The 19,707-nt window shown below is 43.7% G+C and overlaps 1 protein-coding gene across 56 annotated transcripts in view, besides 2 other annotated features; it reads right to left on the reverse strand.

Moving 5' to 3' along the window:
* Positions 1 to 19,707, reverse strand: part of ABLIM1 (actin binding LIM protein 1) — a 370,264-nt gene that overhangs the window by 73,101 nt on the left and 277,456 nt on the right.
* Positions 3,160 to 3,454: a silencer, noted in NCBI's record as "tiled region #9264; K562 Repressive non-DNase unmatched - State 24:Quies". NCBI's record gives its function as "represses a minimal TATA promoter and a strong SV40 promoter by Sharpr-MPRA in K562 cells {active_cell/tissue: K562}" and the evidence as "EXISTENCE:reporter gene assay evidence [ECO:0000049][PMID:27701403]".
* Positions 14,698 to 15,217: an enhancer, noted in NCBI's record as "H3K4me1 hESC enhancer chr10:116278667-116279186 (GRCh37/hg19 assembly coordinates)". NCBI's record gives its function as "activates a minimal SCP1, AML or CMV promoter by ChIP-STARR-seq in naive H9 embryonic stem cells {active_cell/tissue: H9 hESC(naive)}" and the evidence as "EXISTENCE:reporter gene assay evidence [ECO:0000049][PMID:30033119]".

Genomic DNA, 19,707 nt, shown 5'->3' on the forward strand with positions numbered 1-19,707 from the left:
CCTTTGTACTTGTTCTGTAGTTGAATGTTTAGAAAGTATGTTCACATTTAATCCATCCAACACTTGGTGGGCGCCTGTTATTCTTATGCCTGTCTGTGGGCTAAGAAAAGTCTCCAAAGTTACAGAGCTAGAGTTCAAATCTAAGGTTTTCTCCTAAGTCCATTCCCCACTCCCCCAACATCCTGCTACATGTTAAGGCTCAGAAGAACTAGAAATTACTTTAGTCGTTTGGACAGTTTAAAGTAAGTATTCTTTTTTTCCTTCCATAAATTATCATGAGGGAATACAGAAGCTAACCGCCTGGTAAGATCCAGTGGATCTTCCTAAGGCCATCCCTTGAAAAATAGCAAGTCACTTTAAGTGATGATAATTTGAAAATGTGGCCAGGAAAACGATTCTGGTCCCTGGGACCAGAAACAATGGTTTGTTTGATTTTTGACGTGTTATAAGGGCTACCCCAGTTTCTGCATGTACATCAAGAATGATAAAAAGGGGGAGGTCTGATCAATCTGTTAGGCTGGACTGAACTTTCAGGATGACTGGATATACCTGGACTTAGCTGTTTATATGCCCCAATGCTATGTACTTTCTGAAAAATCCTCAGACCATGAAAAGCTACATGTTCCATAATGTTAAAAGGGTATAAAGTAGTGGTTCTGCCTAGCTTGCAAGGTTGCTGTGTAGATAAGAGAAATGTTAATTCTTTATAAATTCACTTTGAGTCATATGACATGGAGAGAGGATGAAGTAGGTTGCAAAACACCAGATGACTCTAAGCCATTTTCTTTCCAAACACTTACCTAGAATTCTAAAGGGGTATCTTCAGGAAGTTGGACCCCAGAGGGAGAGACCCCAAATCCAATGGAATGTGACATTGAGCAGGCTATTAAGTCGGCTGGTGCTGCTCAGCGTGTGGTAAAAAATATTAGCATAGTTCCAGGGAAGGAACAATGAGAAATTCATCATGCTTCTGGCTTCAGACAACTGCTTTCCAAACTCAGACACTGCCCTAACACTCAAGGTCAAAGGTTTCACATCCTTTCCTTTCTTAACACCAGAAGATAAATATTTGCCTTCAAGTTCAACACTCTTGAAATCTAACTCCAATTGGATAATTTTTGTCTCTTGTGCAAGGGCAAAAACTTAAGGTTTCTTCTTACTCATGACCTCATTCCTGGCCTCCTTTCCAACACAATAGCATGTTGGAGTCAGGAATGCACAATAACAGCAATCCAAAGAATCGCTCCCATGCCAGCTGCTCTGAGGGAATCAGTTCTCAATACACATCTCCTAGTTGCCAAATAGTACAATTAAGTGCATTTGGTGGGAAGGAATAGGGCAGTATCAGATAACATAACAAGTGCCCTTTATTTAATATCTTAGTCATGACTTTGTAAGTTGCAATAAGCATTCAGAAGCCAGGCTTTTTAAGTTAAAAATGTTTAAACTTGTTTTACAGTATGCAGCAAATGGCTGATCCCAATTCAGTGGGATTCTAGTTTGTCAACTGCTTTTCGTCACCATATTGCTATCTCTAAAGTACATTCCAGCTCTGTGATAGCTCTCCTTCCCCCATGAATTATAAATATTTTCCCATCCCACCCTGCTCTTATTTCCTTCCTCAGTATTTCTATTCTTAAAAAGGTCTTGTTTTCTCTTGACTTTTATTTTAGGTCCAAGGGGTACATGTGCAGGTTTGTCACATAGGTAAATTGCATGTTGCTGAGGTCTGGTGTATGAATGATCCCATCACCCAGGTAGTAAGCATAGTAACTGATGGGTAGTTTTTCAACCCACTTCCCCTGTCACCATCTCCCCTCCAGTAGTCCCTAATGTCTACTGTTCCCACCTTTGTGTCCATGTGTATTCAATGTTTAGCTCCTGCTCATAAGTGAGAACACGAGGTATTTTTCTGTTCCTGTATTAGTTCACCTAGGATAACAGCCTCCAGCAGCATCCATGTTGTTGCGAAGGACATGATTTTGTTCCGTTTTTGGCTGTGTAGTATTCCATGGTGTATAGATACCACATTTTCTTTATCCAGTCCACCATGAATGGGCACCTAGGTTGACTGCATGTCTTTGCTATTGTGAACAGTGCTGCAAAGAACATACAAGTGCATGTGTCTTTTTGATAGAATGATTTATTTTTCTTTGGGTATATACCCAGTAGTGGGATTGCTGGGTCAAATGGTAGCTCTGTTTTAAGTTCTTTAAGGAATCTACATGCTGCTTTCTACAGTGGCTGAGCTAATTTATACTCCCACCAGCAGTGTATAAGCGTTCCCTTTTCTCCTCAACTTCACCAACATCTGTTTTCTGGCTTTTTAATAATAGCCATTCTGACTAGTGTGAGACGGTATCTCAGTGTGGTTTCCATTTGCATTTCTCTAATGATTAGTGATGATGAGCATTTTTTCATATATTTGTTGGCTGCAAATTGGCTTCTTTTGAGAAGTATCTGCCCAGTTTTAAATAGGGTTATTTATTTTTTAATTGTTTAAGTTTCTTACAGATTCTGGATATTAGACCTTTGCCAGATATACAATTTGTGAATATTTTCTCCCATTGTGTAGCTTGTCTGTTTACTCTGTCGATAGTTTCTTTTGCTGTGCAGAAGCTCTTTAATTTAATTAAGTCCCACTTGTCAATTTCTGGTTTGGCTGCAATGGTTCTAAAATAAATCTTAAAGGACTTCATGGGAGCTGGGTAGGAACCGGTGCTCTGTGGGTAGTTGATGCCTTAGCTTTGGAGTCTTGGGTGATCCTTTACAAGTTATTTCCACTAAAACCATTCCTCTGAGTTATCAAGACTGTTTTACAGATGGTTCAGCTCTATAGTACACTATCAGACTAAAAATATTTTTTCTTCCCCAGGGTTAGAGGAGCCTTCAGGGTGGGAATGAATATTGGAGCAGTCAGAAAAACACAGCTTGCTTTTAAAAACATCCTTGTCTGATTTCCTCTCCTATTGTGGCTGGACTTCATCTCCTTTAATAAACAACTATGCCTTCCAGCCTGGAATTTACCTAGCACAAATTCTGTGATTTCACTGGGAACAGTGAGGAGTGGTGTATCTAACAATCATTGAGTAGTGGTTCCAATCATGAAAAGGAAGCAAAAAACCGACTGAAAAATAAATCTGAAGAAGGAACGAAGACATATGAAAGAATTCAGGACCCCCAGGCTTGGCAATGCCCCAAATGAGAATATTTTTAAGGCAAGGCTTACACCTTTGGATGACAACCAAAGAATTTCTGTATCCCACAAAGAAAGAGACACACAATTCACATTCCAGACCTCTACATGCTGGGTGGGTGCCTGCCCTGCCCCAAGTCGTCTGGATTCTTCTGAAAGGGCAGGCCTCAGAGACCTGAGCCAGGATAAGCAGGGAGTGCTGTGCAAACGGGCACCCTGCCAGCCACACCTGCTGTACCAGGCGCCAGTCACAGTCAGGTGACAGGAGGGCCTGTTAGAGGAGATCTAGGGACCGTGCCATGGCTGGACACTGAGACTCAAGGGAGACAGCCCAACCCACTTATATCAACAGGTGATTTGTGAACTGTGGGTTCCACTGTGTACAGTCACATGGCTGTTGGGGTGACCCTCCAAGTGTTAGGCTGTGCAACCTAGGCTGATGAAAAGTCTGTGTTGTCCCTCAAGGCAGCAGACCCCCCTGAGTTCTGGAGTAAAGGCATCCAGGTACTCCAAGGCAAAGTCTGCTGACCTTAGTCTAAGTTAGCTGGTTCCTCTGACAACAGAAAGAAAGAAAAGCCCAGCTTCCCAGCCAAAGCAGCTGCTCTGCAAAGAAATGCTGGGGTACCTCTTGGGCCAGGCTTCCATCCCCGTTGCTCAGCAGTCTGGACTCAGAAACCCTTTACTGAGCCTTAAGGGCATTCAATTGAAATACCAGGCTTTGTTGCATTTCATGACATTACAAAATTTTTTTTCTACCTGAGTGGGACAAACGTATCACAAATTTACCCTGTTTAGGAGATGGCCCCAGTGATAAAGGAAGAACTTTCCAGGTCAAAGAGCCCTAGGATGAAGTCAGGAAACCTGGGTCCTAACTTGTGAAACCTTGGGCTGGGTTAATATCTCCATTTCTCAGGCGCCTTATTTGCAGGAGGAGATGGTTACATTAAAGGACCTTTAAGATACATTCTAGCTCCAAAATTCTATTTTCCTGAAAAAAGATAAAAAATATTGGCCAGATGCAATGGCTCATGCCTGTAATCCCAACAACTTGGGAGGTCGAGGCAGGATGATTGCTTGAGGCCAGGAGCTGGACACCAGCCTGGGCAACACAGCAAAGCCCTGTCACTATAAAAAGTAATTTCAAAATATTAGCCATGTGTGGTTGCGCACTTGCAGTCCTGGCTACTCAGGAGGATTGCTTGAGCCCAGGAGTTCAAGGCTGCAATGAGCCATGATCTCTCCACTGCATTCCAGCCTGGGCAACAAAGTGAGACCTTGACTTTACGTTCCCACAAAAATATTTTTAAAAATAAGAAAGAGTAAAATGGGAATGGTTTAGGACATCTTCATTGGCAGTTACTGTGAATTAAACAAGCCTTATATAGGAAAATACTGCATTGACAGAGTGGTCACCACACAGTGATTAAACTTTGTCCCTGAGCCCTAAACTGTTGTATTTAATTGAAAGTTCTACAAACAGATGAAGATAGCAACAGTCAGTATCTGTGCTATGCTTTTCAGTTTATAAAGTACTTTCACATATCTCTCCTCACTGGATACTCACAACAGATCATGAGATAGGAACATCAAGTTACCATTACTATCCCCATGTTACAGATGAGCAAAGAGAGGCACATAGTTGTCTTTAATGACTGGGAAATTTAGAATGAGAATAAATTCGTATGGAGAATGCGGAGAGCAGCTCAGGAGAGCAGGAGGAAAAGACAACTCTAAACCGCACACCCTGGAGCTACCCAGGCTATGACAACCAGGGTCACATAAGGAGGGCAAACTGCTTGATACAGTCAAGTGCTGGTGAGGAAGCAGCATGGAGAGTGCGGTGTGAGAAAGGACTCCCAGGACGAGTCAGGGTGAGGCGCCAGCAGCCTCCAAGGTACTGGACCCTGGTCTTTGTGGCCATTCGTGTCTTCAAGCAGTCAGGGCTCAGGCAGTATTTGTTGAGGCAACCAAGGAGCTCTTTGCTCCCCTTGTCCCACCAGTCGGTCTCCAGGCTCTTATTATCCTTCCTCCCGTGCTGTTCTTCCCAATCCTTTGAGGTTCCTCTGCCTCGGGGCCTCACTTGGACCACAAGCCACAACCTCTTCCTCTCCCTCCCTCCCAAAGATGTGCATTCTGAACACCAGGCTAATTTTTATTAAATATGATGTAGATCACAATACTCTGGATAAAAAGACCTGAATGTCTTCCCATTGCCTACTGAAAAAAGTTAAGTTTTCTAACCTTGGCATTCAATACCCTCTGCAGTCTGGTCTCAATCTACCTGTCCAGTTTCATTGCCTACCTGGTATCCACACCCTCATCCATGCCTTGGCCATGTGGGCTCTGCGTCAGCCTCAAATATGTTAACCTGCCTGTATTAGTCCGTTCTCACACTGCCAATAAAGACATAGCTGAGACTAGGTCATTTATAAAGGAAAGAGGTTGAATGGACTCACAGTTCCACATGGCTGACACGGGGAGGCCTCACAATCATGGCGGAAGATGAAGAAAGAGCAAAGGGACGTCTTACATGGCGGCCAGCAAGAGAACTTGTGCAGGGGAACTCCCATTTATAAAACCATCAGATTTTGTGAGACTTATTCACTACCACGAGAACAGCATGGAAAAGACCCACCCCCATGATTCAACTACCTTCCACCAGGTCCCTCCCATGACATGTGGGAATTATGGGAGCTACAATTCAAGATGAGATTTGGGTGGGGACACAGCCAAACCATATCACTGCCTATACCTTCCCACATCTTAAATTTCCTGAGAGAAGCTACTCTCAAACTTCTCTGTGCATTAGAATCAACAGGGTAGTTTTAAAAAAGTATAGTTGCCTGGGGCCCCTCTAGAGAAAGTGATTGCAAGGTGTAGCCCAGGTTGAAAACTTCTAGACTGAAATGAGCCTTCTCCAGCTCCCCTGGACTTAGGCATTTTCTTTGATTTGCATGTATTTCTTGACTTGAATATACATTTATATATTCATATAAAGCACATGCCATTTATATAATGCAATGAATTATAACTGCTGGCTACCTAGCAGATTTTTCCCCACTAGACTTTAATTTCTTGGGAACAAGGACATTGTCTCATTCATTTTTTGTATTTCCAGAGTCTAATGGGCGTTGAACACATATTAGGTATTTTTTTGTATAAAATAGTCTATTTCATATAACAAAATACCAATGCTCCAAGCTTCTACTGCTACCTTCTCTAGGGATTTTATTTTTATTTTATTTTATTATTTTTTTTTTTGAGACAAGGTCTCACTCCCATTACCCAGGGTGGAATGCAGTGATGCGATCTTGGTTCACTGTAGCCTTGACTTCCTGGGCTCAGGTGATCCTCCCATCTTAGTCTCTTGAGTAGCTGGGACTATAGGCATGCACCACCATTCCCAGCTAACTTTTTGTATTTTTATTAGAGATGGGGTTTCACCATGTTGCCCAGGCTGGTCTCAAACTCCTGGGCTCAAGGGATCACCCGCCTCAGTCTCCCAAAGTGCTGGGATTACAGGCCTGAGCCATTGTGCCCTGCCACAGGGTCTTTTCAGTCTTAGCTGAGTGTGTTCCCTCCCTCCTCTGTGCTCCTACAGCATTTATTTATTCTGTTAAGGTAGTGCCTTGAACTTATCAATATCTTTGAAGTCTTCCACTAAAGTTTAAGTTCCATTAAGGTAGGGGTTGTCTTTTTATAATCGCACATTATAAGTATAATTATATAATCAGTTAACATAGTACAAGAATGAAATGTTAAATTCTTGTTTATAGAATCAATTATACCTCAAACTAGTATACAAAAAATGTAAGTTTATCACTGAGGAAAATTCTAACGTCACAGAACAATGGCAGAACAAATATTTAAGAGCAAGATGTATTGCTGAATCCACGAGATTTTATTCTATTCTAAGCAATGTTTTTCATTTTAATTTTTTTTATACCCTTCTCACCTCTTTAAAAAAATTTTTTTTTGAGACAGAGTCTTGCTCTGTCACCCAGGCTGGAGTGCAGTGGTGCAGTGTCGGCTCACTGCAACCTCCACCTCCTAGGTTCAAGTGATTCTCATGCCTCAGCCTCCTGAGTAGCTGGGACTACAGGCATGCACCACCACACCCAGCTAATTTTTGTATTTTCAGTAGAGACAGAGTTTCATCATGTTGGCCAGGCTGTCTCAAACTCCTGACCTCAAGTGATCCACCCGCCTCAGCCTCCCTAAGTGCTGGGATTACAGGCGTGAGCCACCACACCTGGCCCCTTCTCATGTCTTTCTAGAAAAGTCCCATTTCCTATCATTTTGTTCCCAGTGTATATTTTGGCAAAGACTTGTTCTAATTCTTTCAGTTTGCATCAAACAGGTCATCTGTAGAGACTAGTCTCAACTCTCAGCAGAAAAGCCAACTGTCCATATTCTCCAGTTTCCCCTTCCAGCTGTTCGGAGCATCATTAAGTTTAAAGACCTCTCTTTCCTGTGGACCCAGAAGGTCTTGCTCTGCAGTTCCCTCAAACTTGAACACGGTGGCATCACTTTCTCATCAACAAACAATCTCAGGTGGACAGATGCTCTCTCAGTGTCTTCCTGGAGCAGAAAGACCTGGATAATCCCCATCCAAGACAAGTCAATTTCCTTCTGTCCAATTAGGACAGTAAAGCTGCTTGGTACCACTTCCTTGCTGCAGGCCAGTCGTGCTGAGCACAAGATGACTCAGGTGAACTTTCCTGGGGGGAAGCTGCTTATTCCAAAAGTAATGGGTCTATTAAAGACAGGAGCCCAAACAAAAGGATGTTTTTTTCCTGTGCGTAAAAAGGGCTGAAATTAGCGAACTGGGGAAAGAAAATGTGTTACAATCCAATGCAATGTGCACTCACGGAGTACCTCTTATTCACTCGTGACATGCTGATTCCTCTGGGGACCAGTCTGCAGAGAAGCCAAAAGGCTTTACGTAGGAACCTTATTCATCTTTGCATTCTCGAAGTGTGCAAATAGTAAGTGGACAATAGACATTCATTGAGTGAAAGATCCTGCTTCTGAATCCAGAGGAAGGGACAATGTCTAACTATAATTCAAGGGGTCAGGCAGGACTTCACGGAAGATATAACTTGTAAATTGGGATTAGAAGGATAGCAGAATCCAGGCCAGGTGTGGTGGCTCACGCCTGTAATCCCAGCACTTTAGGAGGCCGAGGAGGACGGATCACTTGAGGTCAGGAGTTCAAGACCAGCCTGGGCAACATGATGAAACCCTGTCTCTATTACAAATACAAAAATTAGCTGGGTGTGGTGGTGTGCACCCAGAATCCCAGCTACTCAGGAGGCTGAGGCAGGAGAATCGCTTGAACCCAGGAAGTGGAGGTTGCGGTGAGCCGAGATCGTGCCACTGCATTCCAGCCTGGGTGACAGAGTGAGACTCCATCAGATAGAAGGAAGGAAGGAAGGAAGGAAGGAAAGAAGGAAGGAAGGAAGGAAGGAAGGAAGGAAGGAAGGAAGGAAGGAAGGAAGGAAAGAAAGAGAGAAAGAAAGAGAGAAAGCAAGCAAGCAAGCCGAATTTTGCTTTTATTACTTATATACCAAAACTCGAGAGTTTTTTCCTATCACTTACACTATAGTCAAGAAGACAGTCACCTGTACTCTCCATCCATCCTCCTCCATCCATCCTCCCTTTCCCCAGCAAACCAAACCAAACCAGACCCAGAAAACCTAAACCTTTGAGAAACTTACCAGATACTTTCTCACCTAAAGTTACTTTTCTGTGTAATTTTTCAGGTACAACAATCTGCTGAAAATTCATTTCTTACCCCTTGTACATTTAACTGATAAACGTGATGAATTTAGAAAGAAATGTGATGAATTTAGAAAGAAAGCATATCAGTTCTTCATTCAGAAATGCAGCTATCTTAGGAGAAAAATGTGTTTCAAATGTCCGCAAGATATGCTATAATGGCTCAGAACAGGAAGAAATTAGCTTCATTTCAGTAACAGCCAGTATTCTACCACCTCTTAAATCAAGCAAAAACATTTATCACATAAAAGAAAATAAAAAAAAAGAAACCCCACTGGCAAGCAACATCCGGCAGTAACAATTTCACACTCAATTTATCCTGAGCAGGTTAATACCACACTGTGGCAATTTCATCTAGTCGACATGCTTCAGCTCACCCCTTTCTAACCTATTGTAAATGACCAGCAATCAAAGCCCAACTTGGTCTGTGTGCTGGTATGCTCAGGGTCAAGGTGAATTCACCTTGGTGGCGGGTAGGAGCAAAGGGTATCCCTCATAAGCCAGGAATGAAAGAACCACCAAATGAATTCTTAGTGCTTCCTGTCTAGCACAGAGCTAGTAGATACAAGCAATCGATTTTTCCATGAAAGGTGTCGATGCCAACACTACCAAGAAATCTATCTTTTGCCAGAGAGATAGCAAGGATTTAGTGCCCCTGCAAATTCTTATTGACTATTAAGATGTGCCAAGTTTGGGTCATACTGCAAATTTCCAAGATACATATACTCCTGAAAATATCATCCAAGCCTGCAAAGTTTTCACATGACACCATCACTCAATGACTATACTCAAGGAATAACTGCATCTGTCCTACAGGCTCCACAAGCATCACTTTTAGGATCTACAGATTAGTTATCTCAGGTAAGTTTCTCTACTGCTGCTCACCTAAGACTCACAGAATAAAAAAGTTGCTTTCCGATACTAGCTGGAAGCAAACATAATTAAGTGAAATGAGGCCGGGTGCAGTGGCTCACGCCTGTAATCCTAACACTTTGGAAGGCCAAGGTGGGCGGATCACTTGAATGGGAGGGGGAAAGGGGAGCCGGAGATTGCGGTGAGCCAAGATCGCACCACTGCACTCCAGCTGGGTGACAGAGCGAGACTCTGTCTCAAAAAAAAAAAAAAAATAAAGTGAAATGAGCATTCTGAATTATCAGCTGTTTTTGTAATTTCTGCAGTCATTCCTTTGAATTATTGCTTTTGTGAGACAGGGTCTCACTATGTTGCCCAGGCTGGAATGCAGTGGCGTGATCACAGCTCACTGCAGACTCGACCACCCGGGCTCAGTGATCCTCCCACCTCAGCCTCCCAAGTAGTTGGGTCTACAGATGCATGTGCCACCATACCCAACTAATTTAAAAAAATTTTTTTTGTAGAGACAGGGTCTCCCTATGTTTCCCAGGCTGGTCTCAAGCTCCTCGGCTCAAGTGATCCTCCTGCCTTGATCTCCCAAAGTGTTGGGATTACAGGCGTGGCCACCACTCTCAACCTGAATTAATTTTTATAGTTGAAATAAAACTGTCTTTTCTTGCAGACTGCATGAAAACCTATGAAAAGGTATTCAAAGTACAGGAAGCAGGCCTCCCACAGGCCATTTAGCAGAAGTTAAGACTATTTCTACACTACTGTGATTCTTTTTGGAAGTTTAAAAGCTTCAGATTGAAAACTAAAAAAGAGAGGAAAAGCGCCTGTCATTGAGACCTACCCACCATGGTGTCCTTTGAGACTAAAGATTAAATTATTAGTATAGTCACCATGAGTTTCTGCCCAAATGCAAATGCACTGACCTTCCAGAGAAATGAAAAATCTAACACAACTTCTGAGGAGATCTCCCAGAACCTGAAAGCAGTTTAGTCCAGGTCAATGCAGCAGGGGATGGGTGAGAAGGAGCGCGTGCATAAAATCACATTAAAGGTAAGTCATGACAAGGGTCATTTAAGTGACACGTGACTGCAATGCTGCATTCGAATTAGGTTAGTTCTGAGATTCACACAAATTGGGCCAGCTACCCTGAGCTCACAATTCCCGCAGCGGCCATGTCAAGGCTACCCTGCTTTTGGTGTGCGGCAGTGGGATCTTTCCCCAAATCCAGATGTGGAAGCTGCCATTCCCTCCCGTGACCCTCTCCCTGGCCACAGTGAATGGTCTAGAGCTGGAGAGGTGACATTCCGATGGAATCTCTTCCTGGGACTTCAGGATGTGAGCTGGGGGTACAAGAGCCCTTTCCACCATGGTTGAGAATCCCTGAGCTGCAGCCTTATGCTTTTCATGCAGAGTGAGTTCGTGAGTGTGAATGACACACACAGATAAGCAGACAGAGCTGACGGGATGCTAATGACATCTAAGGCCCTGTCCCCTCCAGCGGCTTGGCTATGTGAGCCTCTTTTCTGCTTCAGCTGATGTTACTGGTTGACTTGTGTCCCCCAAAAAGATATGTTCAAGCCCTAACTCCCAATACCTCAGGGTGTGACCTTATTTGGAAATAGGGTTGTTGCAGATGTTAATTAGTTGGAATGAGCTCATACTGGAATAGGTTGGGCTGTTAATCCACTATGACTGATGTCCTTATAAGAACAGAAGAGGGAGGGAGACAGACAAGGAGAACTCTAAGCAAAAACAGAGGCAGAGGTTGGTGTTTTGTTGCCATAAGCAAGGAAGCTGGAAGAGGCCAGAAGCTGGAAGAGGCCAGGGTAAATCTTCCTCTACCGGCTCAGAGAGGACATGGCTCTACCCACACCTTGATTTCACCAGCCTCCAGAGCTGTTGGAAATTAAATTTGTCTTTTTTAAAACATCCAAGTAGTGGTGCTTTGTTATGCTGGCTCCAAAATACAGCTGGTTTGAGGTGAGTTTCTGTCCCTTGCGACCAAAGCCATTGTCTAAGGGAGTGAGGTGAGCAGGTATCAATTTTAAACATTGTCTAAGGGAGTGAGGTGAGCAAGGTATCAATTTTAAACATTGTCTAAGGGAGTGAGGTGAGCAGGTATCAATTTTAAACATTGTCTAAGGGAGTGAGGTGAGCAGGTATCAATTTTAAACATAAAAAATGTTTTGCGGCCAGGTGTGGTGGCTCACACCTGTAATCCCAGCACTTTGGGAGGCCAAGGCAGGCAGATCACTTGAGGCCAGGAGTTTAAGACAAGCCTGGTCAACGTGGCAAAACCCTGTCTCTACTAAAAATACAAAAATTAGCCAACCATGGTAGTGTGTGGCTGTAATCACAGCTACTAGGGAGGCTGAGGCAGGAGAACAGCTTGAACTGGGGAGACAGAGGTTGCAGTGAGCCGAGATCGCATCACTGCACTCCAGCCTGGGTGACAGAGCAAGACTCTGTCTCCAAAAAAAGCCAAAACAACAAAAACTGTTTCGCATCCAAGTACCCTGTGCAACACAAAAAACAGCTGCTTCCTTAAAGAAACTATTGAAAACAGATCACAAACCCAGCCACAATTCTTTATTTTTGCATTAATATAACTTTCTCCTGAGAAATAAAACAAATAGATGGTGTTGGTTTTGTGAGCTTCACACTGGATTCAGTCAACCTTGGAAACTCTTTGAAACAATAATTAATGCCAGTTAATCACAGGGAAAGGCTGCCATTCAGCTAAAACTCTCAGGGCTTACAAAAGCACATTTTTCTTCCTCTGTTTCCTTTCAGTTAGACTATCAGATATGCAAACACTCTTCTCATTAGCCTCTTATTTTGCTGAATTCAGTAAGAAATTTCCTAGAAGACTTGCAGTTCTGGCTGGTGCTTTTCTGGGACCTGCGATTAACTAATAGTAGATGCCATTCCTTGGGACTCCGTTTTTTTTTGTTGTTGCTTTTTATCCTCAAAGAGCAGGGCTGTTGATTACGACAAGAACAAGGCTTTTGCCCCTTTCCTCACCTCCAGGAGGAAAAACCTGAGAGGGAAGAGCAAGCACTCCGATTTTTAGATGGGAGGGCATGGGCTGAGTTGAACTGTGGTCCCCCAAAGATATGTCCAACCTGCTTTGCAGATGTAATTAAGGTAAGGGTGTTGAGAGAAGGCCATCCTGGATTCAGGTGGGCCCTGAATCCAATGACAAGTCTTTACAAAATACAGGACAGGACGGGACCAGACAAGACAAGGAAACTGACCAAGAGGGCAAGCTGGACCCACATGAAGATGAAGGCAGAGACTGGAGCGATGCAGCTCCAAGCCACGCAGCACCAAGGATGCTGCAGCACTGGAAGCCAGGGGACAGGATGAAGCAGACCCTCCAGCAGAGCCCCCAGAAGAACCCCCACTCCACACCGACAACACTTTGATTTCAAACTTCAGGCCTCCAGAAATGTGACAGAATACATTTCTGTCATGTTTGAGCTGCCAAGTTTGTGGTGATCTATGATATCCTTAGGAACGAATTCAAGGCATCAACGACAGCGCATACTTTAAAGGGCGGGGAGGGGGGCCACAGTACAATGTGGGTCTGTACTTTTTTGCGATAAACTGTGTTCACAGCAGGACAAAAAACTTGGGATTTTTAGGATTTCACAGAAATTGCCTCATAATCAACCACAATGTTGAAGCTAAAGTTTGTCTGAAACCTTCCTCATCATGCAAATCTTTTATTAGCTCGTCACCTGTATGTGGTGCTGTGCTGGCAGAAAGTTAGGCTGAAACAAAACCCCCTTTGGAAACATAGTAACGCTGCACGGGCTGACATGGATCCCCGTGGATGTGCCCACCAGACACATGGGACCATGTGAGACGAACAAGACATCATCTGTGTCTGCTGGTAGTTATTTACACACATACTTTTTTTTTTTGGTATTTGTCATGTTTTCTTAGTGTATGGTAAAGGATTTTACCACTATGTGGTCATTAAAAAGAATGTCATCATCCTATAAGCATCAACACTGAGTTACTGCCAAGTGAAGGAAATTGTAGAACAACATGCATAAAACGGTCCTATTTGTATAAAAGAATACATGCCCTCCCACAGGTATCTATGTGCAAGAAACAGGAGCAAAGCAAGATACAGAACTCTACATCCTATATGAAAAAATTTACATGATCCAACCCCGTATTTGTAAGTATCTGCATGCCAGTGACACTATAGACCCAACTCTCAACAATAGCTACCTCTGGGAGTGGGTTTTTTTAAAGTAATGTGAGCTTATTGTAAATAAATAACTGAATAAGTACACTTCTTTGTACTTCTCTGAACCACATGCAATGGGCCAGATAGTACATATTTTCAGCTTTGTGGACTACGCTGTCTCTGTCTCAGCTACTCAAGGCTGGTATGGGCTAAAGCAGACCTAGAGACTATGTAAATGAACAGACGTGGTCCTGTGCCAATAAAGCTTAGGGAGTAAGTGGAGAATGTTTACTTTTTACCTGATACCAAGATTGGCAGCCCATAGGTGAAACCTGGCCCACTACCTGTTTTTTGTAAATAAAGCTTTATTGGAACAGAACCATGTCTGTTCATTTACATAGTCTCTAGGTCTGCTTTAGCCCATACGTAGCTGAGACAGAGACAGCATAGTCCACAAGGCTGAAAATATGTACTATCTGGCCCATTACATGTGATTCAGAGAAGTACAAACAAGTGTACTTACTCAGTTATTCATTTATTTATTTACGATGAGCTCACACTACTTAAAAAAAAAAACTTTTAGAAGTTGTCTGCTCAGACAGTGGCAGGGGATGCCTGGACAATCATCAACAATCTTCCTAGAAGCAGGTGGGAACTTGGGAGTTTTTAGGATGAGACAAGAAAAGCTCCATAGGCATGGGAAAGGGAAGTTGTTTAAAAACAAAGTGAAATAAAGGTTTGAGCAAAAATCTTTTGAATATCTACTCAATCCCCACACACCCTGCCTCCCTGTAATGGCTTTAATATTCCAAAAGACTTTGAAAGATAGCTTTGGTTTGTACAGCAAGCAGAGAAGTAGTTCAAGAGGCAGCCTGGGGGAGGTGCAGAGGGGATAGAGAAGCACTGAGCTGCTCTGAGGTCTACTTTTGCCTTACTAACCAATGGGCTGTGTGTTCCTAGGAAAATCACTCAGGTTTTCTGGGTCTCAGTGTCCTCAACTCTCAGAGGTTTAGACTAGATTAAATCTGTGGAACTTTCCTGCTAATGATATTTCTGGGAGTCCTAAGCAGGTATCACCTTGAACACAGAAAAGGAGGTAGAGAAGAGATCTTCCTGGTTGGTGCAAGGCCAGGTCCGGGAACCAGCCGGCCAGGTTGCAGCCTTTTTTCCCCGCCCAGCACATGTTGGGTGTGAGCGAGTGCAGATTAGGCAAGGCCCCAATTATCCCTCGGCTGGGAGAGGCAAGTGTGAACAATGAATCAGTCAGAAACTCCTTTCCAATATCCTCATCACACAGACAGTTAAATTGCAAACCACAAGACATATTTATTAATGAGTACATCCAAGGCCATCAGGCCATTTAAGAAGTTGTATTAAAAGGGCAAAAATCCCTCCAATCTTGCTCAGGGATGGTTAAAGGGTTCAGGGGTCCCTGCTCTTTGTGATGGATAGAGGAGCCAAATGACACATCAGGGTTCGCCCACAGATCCCTCATACATGCCATGGTTGAGCACTTCTCACTGGTCCTACCCCCAGTGCTGAGGGCCTTTTGAGTTTTTGACATCCATAAATAACCTGTGGGTACTACCTCCCTGCTTAGCTCACCACCAACCCAGGAAAAAAGGAACCAGCTGGGTTACCCCCAAACCTGGGTGAAACTGGATTATGTGCCAAGGAAAGCTTTGACGGACCAGTCTGGCAAGGCTGCAGCCTCTGCCCTGTTGGAGCTGTCATCTGGAGTTGTCCTGTGCTGGAAAATTCAAGCTGTAAGACAACAAGGGACTCCATCCCTAGAGGCCAGCACAGGCTTCAGGCTCATGCCTGAAGACTCCCACTGCAGAGGGTACACCCTCAGCTGCTGAAGCCTCTGGGCAGGGCCATAGTAAACAGTCTCCACCTCAACTCTCTATAGACAGAAGTCTTAATCATTTTAGAATTGGCTCCATGGAGTCACAGCTCCAAGCCAGCTTACAGCATTACATTTATATGTCGACAAGGGCTTCTGATCTTGGCCTTCTGTTCTGCAGTGGAACATCCTGGGGCCAATCAACCTCACAAACACCGGTGTCAAGGCAGGTGATGAACAGCACTTGGTTATATTAAAAATGTAGAAGAACTCTGTCAGGTTTAAAATTCTTAGGCATTTTCCTAGTCTTTTCTGCTTGAAATTGCTACCTACAGTTGTCATGGTGGTTTCCTTGGTGTAAGTTTCATATTCTAGGGGAAATCAGTGCCATCGTGGGAGCTAAAAAAAGGAGAACTCATTCCCAGGGCTGCCAATTGTAACCCTGGATTAAAGTGCCATGTGACTCAGCAGCTGCTTAACTTTTGACTAATAGATTTGTTTACATAAGAAGAATGAGAGGGTTTAAGCAATCAATGACGTCCTATCGGTTAAAAAAAGAAAAAAAAGAAAGAAAGAAAAATGACGTAGGCTGGGTGTGGTGCTTCATGCCTGTAATCCCAGCACTTCAGGAGGCCAAGGCAGGAGGACCACTTGAGGCCAGGAGTTAAGAGAGCAGCCTGGGCAACATAGTGAGACCCTGTCTCTAAAAAATAATAATAAAAAAAAATTAGCTGGGCATGATGGCATGCACCTGTAGTCCCGGGACTCAGGAGACTGAGGCAGGGAATCTCTGGAGCCCAGGAGTTTGAGGCTGCAGTAAGTTATGACTGTGCCACTGTGCTCCAGTCTGGACAACAGAGTGAGACCCTGTTTCTAAAAAAACAATAAAAATAAGTGACTTAAGATACAGCAGCTAGTTATCCTTAGAGATGTCACTGGATTATGAACTGATAGGCTCATGTTTATGTTTATAAATAGTATAAATAATATGTATAAGCTCAAATAATAGGGATGAGAAGGGAGGAGGTGAGGTCTTAGGTTTCATTCATTTGGCAAAAGCCTGTGATGAACCTGTGGGTCAGGCACTGGACACCTGATGAGGAGGAAAGAAAGGCTGTATAATCTGCGCTACCAAGAAGAAATCTGTATTCAATTCCTGGCCCTGCAGTAATCATCTGTACGCCTTTCGGCAACTGCTCTGGGCCTCAGTTTACTTACTTGCAAAACAAAGATGAGAGTCATACTCAAGCCATAGAGTTGATGAAAGGACTTTGATGAAGTATGCTTATAAAGTGCTAAGGCAATAAGAACAAACAATAATTACAACCATAACCACCTTTATTACACATTCCTGTCCTCAAGAGCTTAGTATGCAGAGCTTAGCAAACAGGTGACTGTAACTGGATAAGATGGTTAGTGTAATGTACAAAGTGAGGTGGGTGTGGGGAGAAAATTCTCCAAGGCTACTGTCTTGGGGAGTCAAAGAGGAATCACAGGAGAGAAGCTCTTAGACTTAAAAGAGAGTAGAAATTTACTCGGTAGTCAACCCCCCTCCTTTCCCCGCTCCTTCTTTCCTTCCTTCCCTCTCCTTTTCCCTCCCATTCATCCATCCTTCTATCCATCCACTCATCCTCTTATTGGGCACCAACCTTCTATCAGATGATGTTTTAGTTTCGGGGATATGATAGTACCTGTCATAAGCATACATTCTTGCAATGAGTGACAGATACTAGACATGGATACAAGCAGATAAGAATTCCAGATAGTCGGGGAACAGTGCCATGAAGAACCTAAAACAGAACCAGGGGAGAGAAGATGGCCTAGGGGTTGGGCAGGTGGAAGCAACTTTAGCTAGGTGATTAGAGGATACCTCTCCAAGTCAAAAGAGGCAGGTTGAATAATGAGAAGGAAGCCAAGATCTGGAGGAAGAATGTGCCAGGCTCAGGGAGCAGTGAAAGCCCAGAGATGGACAGTGTCTGTGCTTGAGGGGCAGAAAGAAGGCTAGCAGGGCTGGAATGAAAGAGGAGGGAAGATGTAGGTAATCAGAAACTTAATCTCAGAGGGCTGCATAAGCCAGGAGAAGATATTTCAACAGATTTTCAAAATTCCAAGGTTTAAAGGCAAAACAAAAACCCAGTCGAACACATGTTTTCCTCATGCTTTAGAACTCTTTTCAAACCACAAAGGAAACCTGGCAATCCACCCCACCCCCCACTTATTCCCTAAACTTCGTTATATAAGGGCCAACATCTTCTTTCATCTGTTGCCAGACCAGATACATTTGGCATCCTAAACAAGTTGCCAAAACAAAGCAGAAAGCTCAGCTTAAACTCTGTTAGAGGATGTTCTAAACTTCACAAAACACAATTCTCTATGTTTTCAAGTATGTTTATTTGGACAAGGTATACGGATATGAGCACAGACATAAGGAACCAGCTGCACAGAACCAAGACAATCTAGTAAAAAATTACTATTCAGCAGTAAGGAAAGATAAAAGCAGTCTTAAGTGTAAACAAGTATTTTTGCTTCATCTAGTGTTTATGAGCAACAAATGGCCTCAGTGTGAACCAGCAATGCTGAGAAGGACACAAACACGTATTTGCTAAAAACATTCCAGGCTTGGCGAATAATAAAGCAGCAGGGTTTGTTTCCTCTTTGATGAAGGTCCCCTCCCGTCAAAGGCTGCACCTTAAGCCTCTGCAGCTTAAGGTACAAGAAAGGCTCACGCTTGCTCATTCCCAGGGCTCTGCTTAGAAGCATGTAGCTAGGCCAGGTGCGGTGGCTCACGCCTGTAATCCCAGCACTTTGGGAGGCTGAAGCGGGTGGATCACTTGAGGTCAGGAGTTGAAGACCAGCCTAGCCAACATGGTGAAACCCCATCTCTACTAAAAACACAAAAAATTAGCCGGGCATGGTGGCACACACCTGTAATCCCAGTTACTCGGAGGGTGAGGCAGGAGAATCGCTTGAACCCAGGAGGTGGAGGTTGCAGTGAGCCAAGATTGCACCACTGCACTCCAGCCTGGGTGACAGAGCAAGACTCCATCTCAAAAAACAAAACAAAACAAAAAAATCCATGGAGCTGGGGTTGGTTTGTGAACCAAAGCAAGAGATTGAGAGGATCTTTGGCTTCTCTGTCTCTCACTACGGCATCTTTACATTCTGCACAGTCTGGAAACTTCCAATTTCAAGACATCTGCCCCATCTGCACCCCCCTTGCCCTGATAACCTGGTTCAGAGAACCAGGTAGGTTCTCTGGGCAGCACCACCTGACTCCCCACAGGACACATAGATCAACAAGGGCCGTTTTTTCACCTCTGATCATAAGCTCTTTCAACTGGCGAGTTTTCTTAAAGAGGTGGTAAATACCTTGCCTTTGGGTCAGACCCTATGGTTAGTGTGCTCTTTATCTTATTGAAACCATGAAGAAGCATTAACCTGTGGGGTTTATAATAAGAGCAGAAATTTAATTTCTGGGCCTTATGAAGGCCCAAATTCTACAACCCACAGACCCACTCTTCCTGCATCCTTCAAAGAGTTTTCTGGTAGCCCCTCAGACATTAAAACCTGCTTAGATGGTGACTGGATTTGTCCTCTTTAAAAAATTACAGAAATATGGACACAGGCTGCAGACATGTGGCTTGCTGACCAAGCTCCTGGGTGGTCTTTCCATAGAAATCATTGACATTCATTTGTCTGTTCATCAATGACTGAGCAAATAGTATGAGCAGGCACTGTGCTATATCCTGGGGGCAAATAGACCTAAAATGCTCACATTTGCTGCACTCAGGGATCTTTGGTCTACTGAATGGGGGG

The sequence above is a fragment of the Homo sapiens genome, chromosome 10 (genome assembly GCF_000001405.40).
Source record: "Homo sapiens chromosome 10, GRCh38.p14 Primary Assembly".
NCBI lineage: Eukaryota > Metazoa > Chordata > Mammalia > Primates > Hominidae > Homo > Homo sapiens.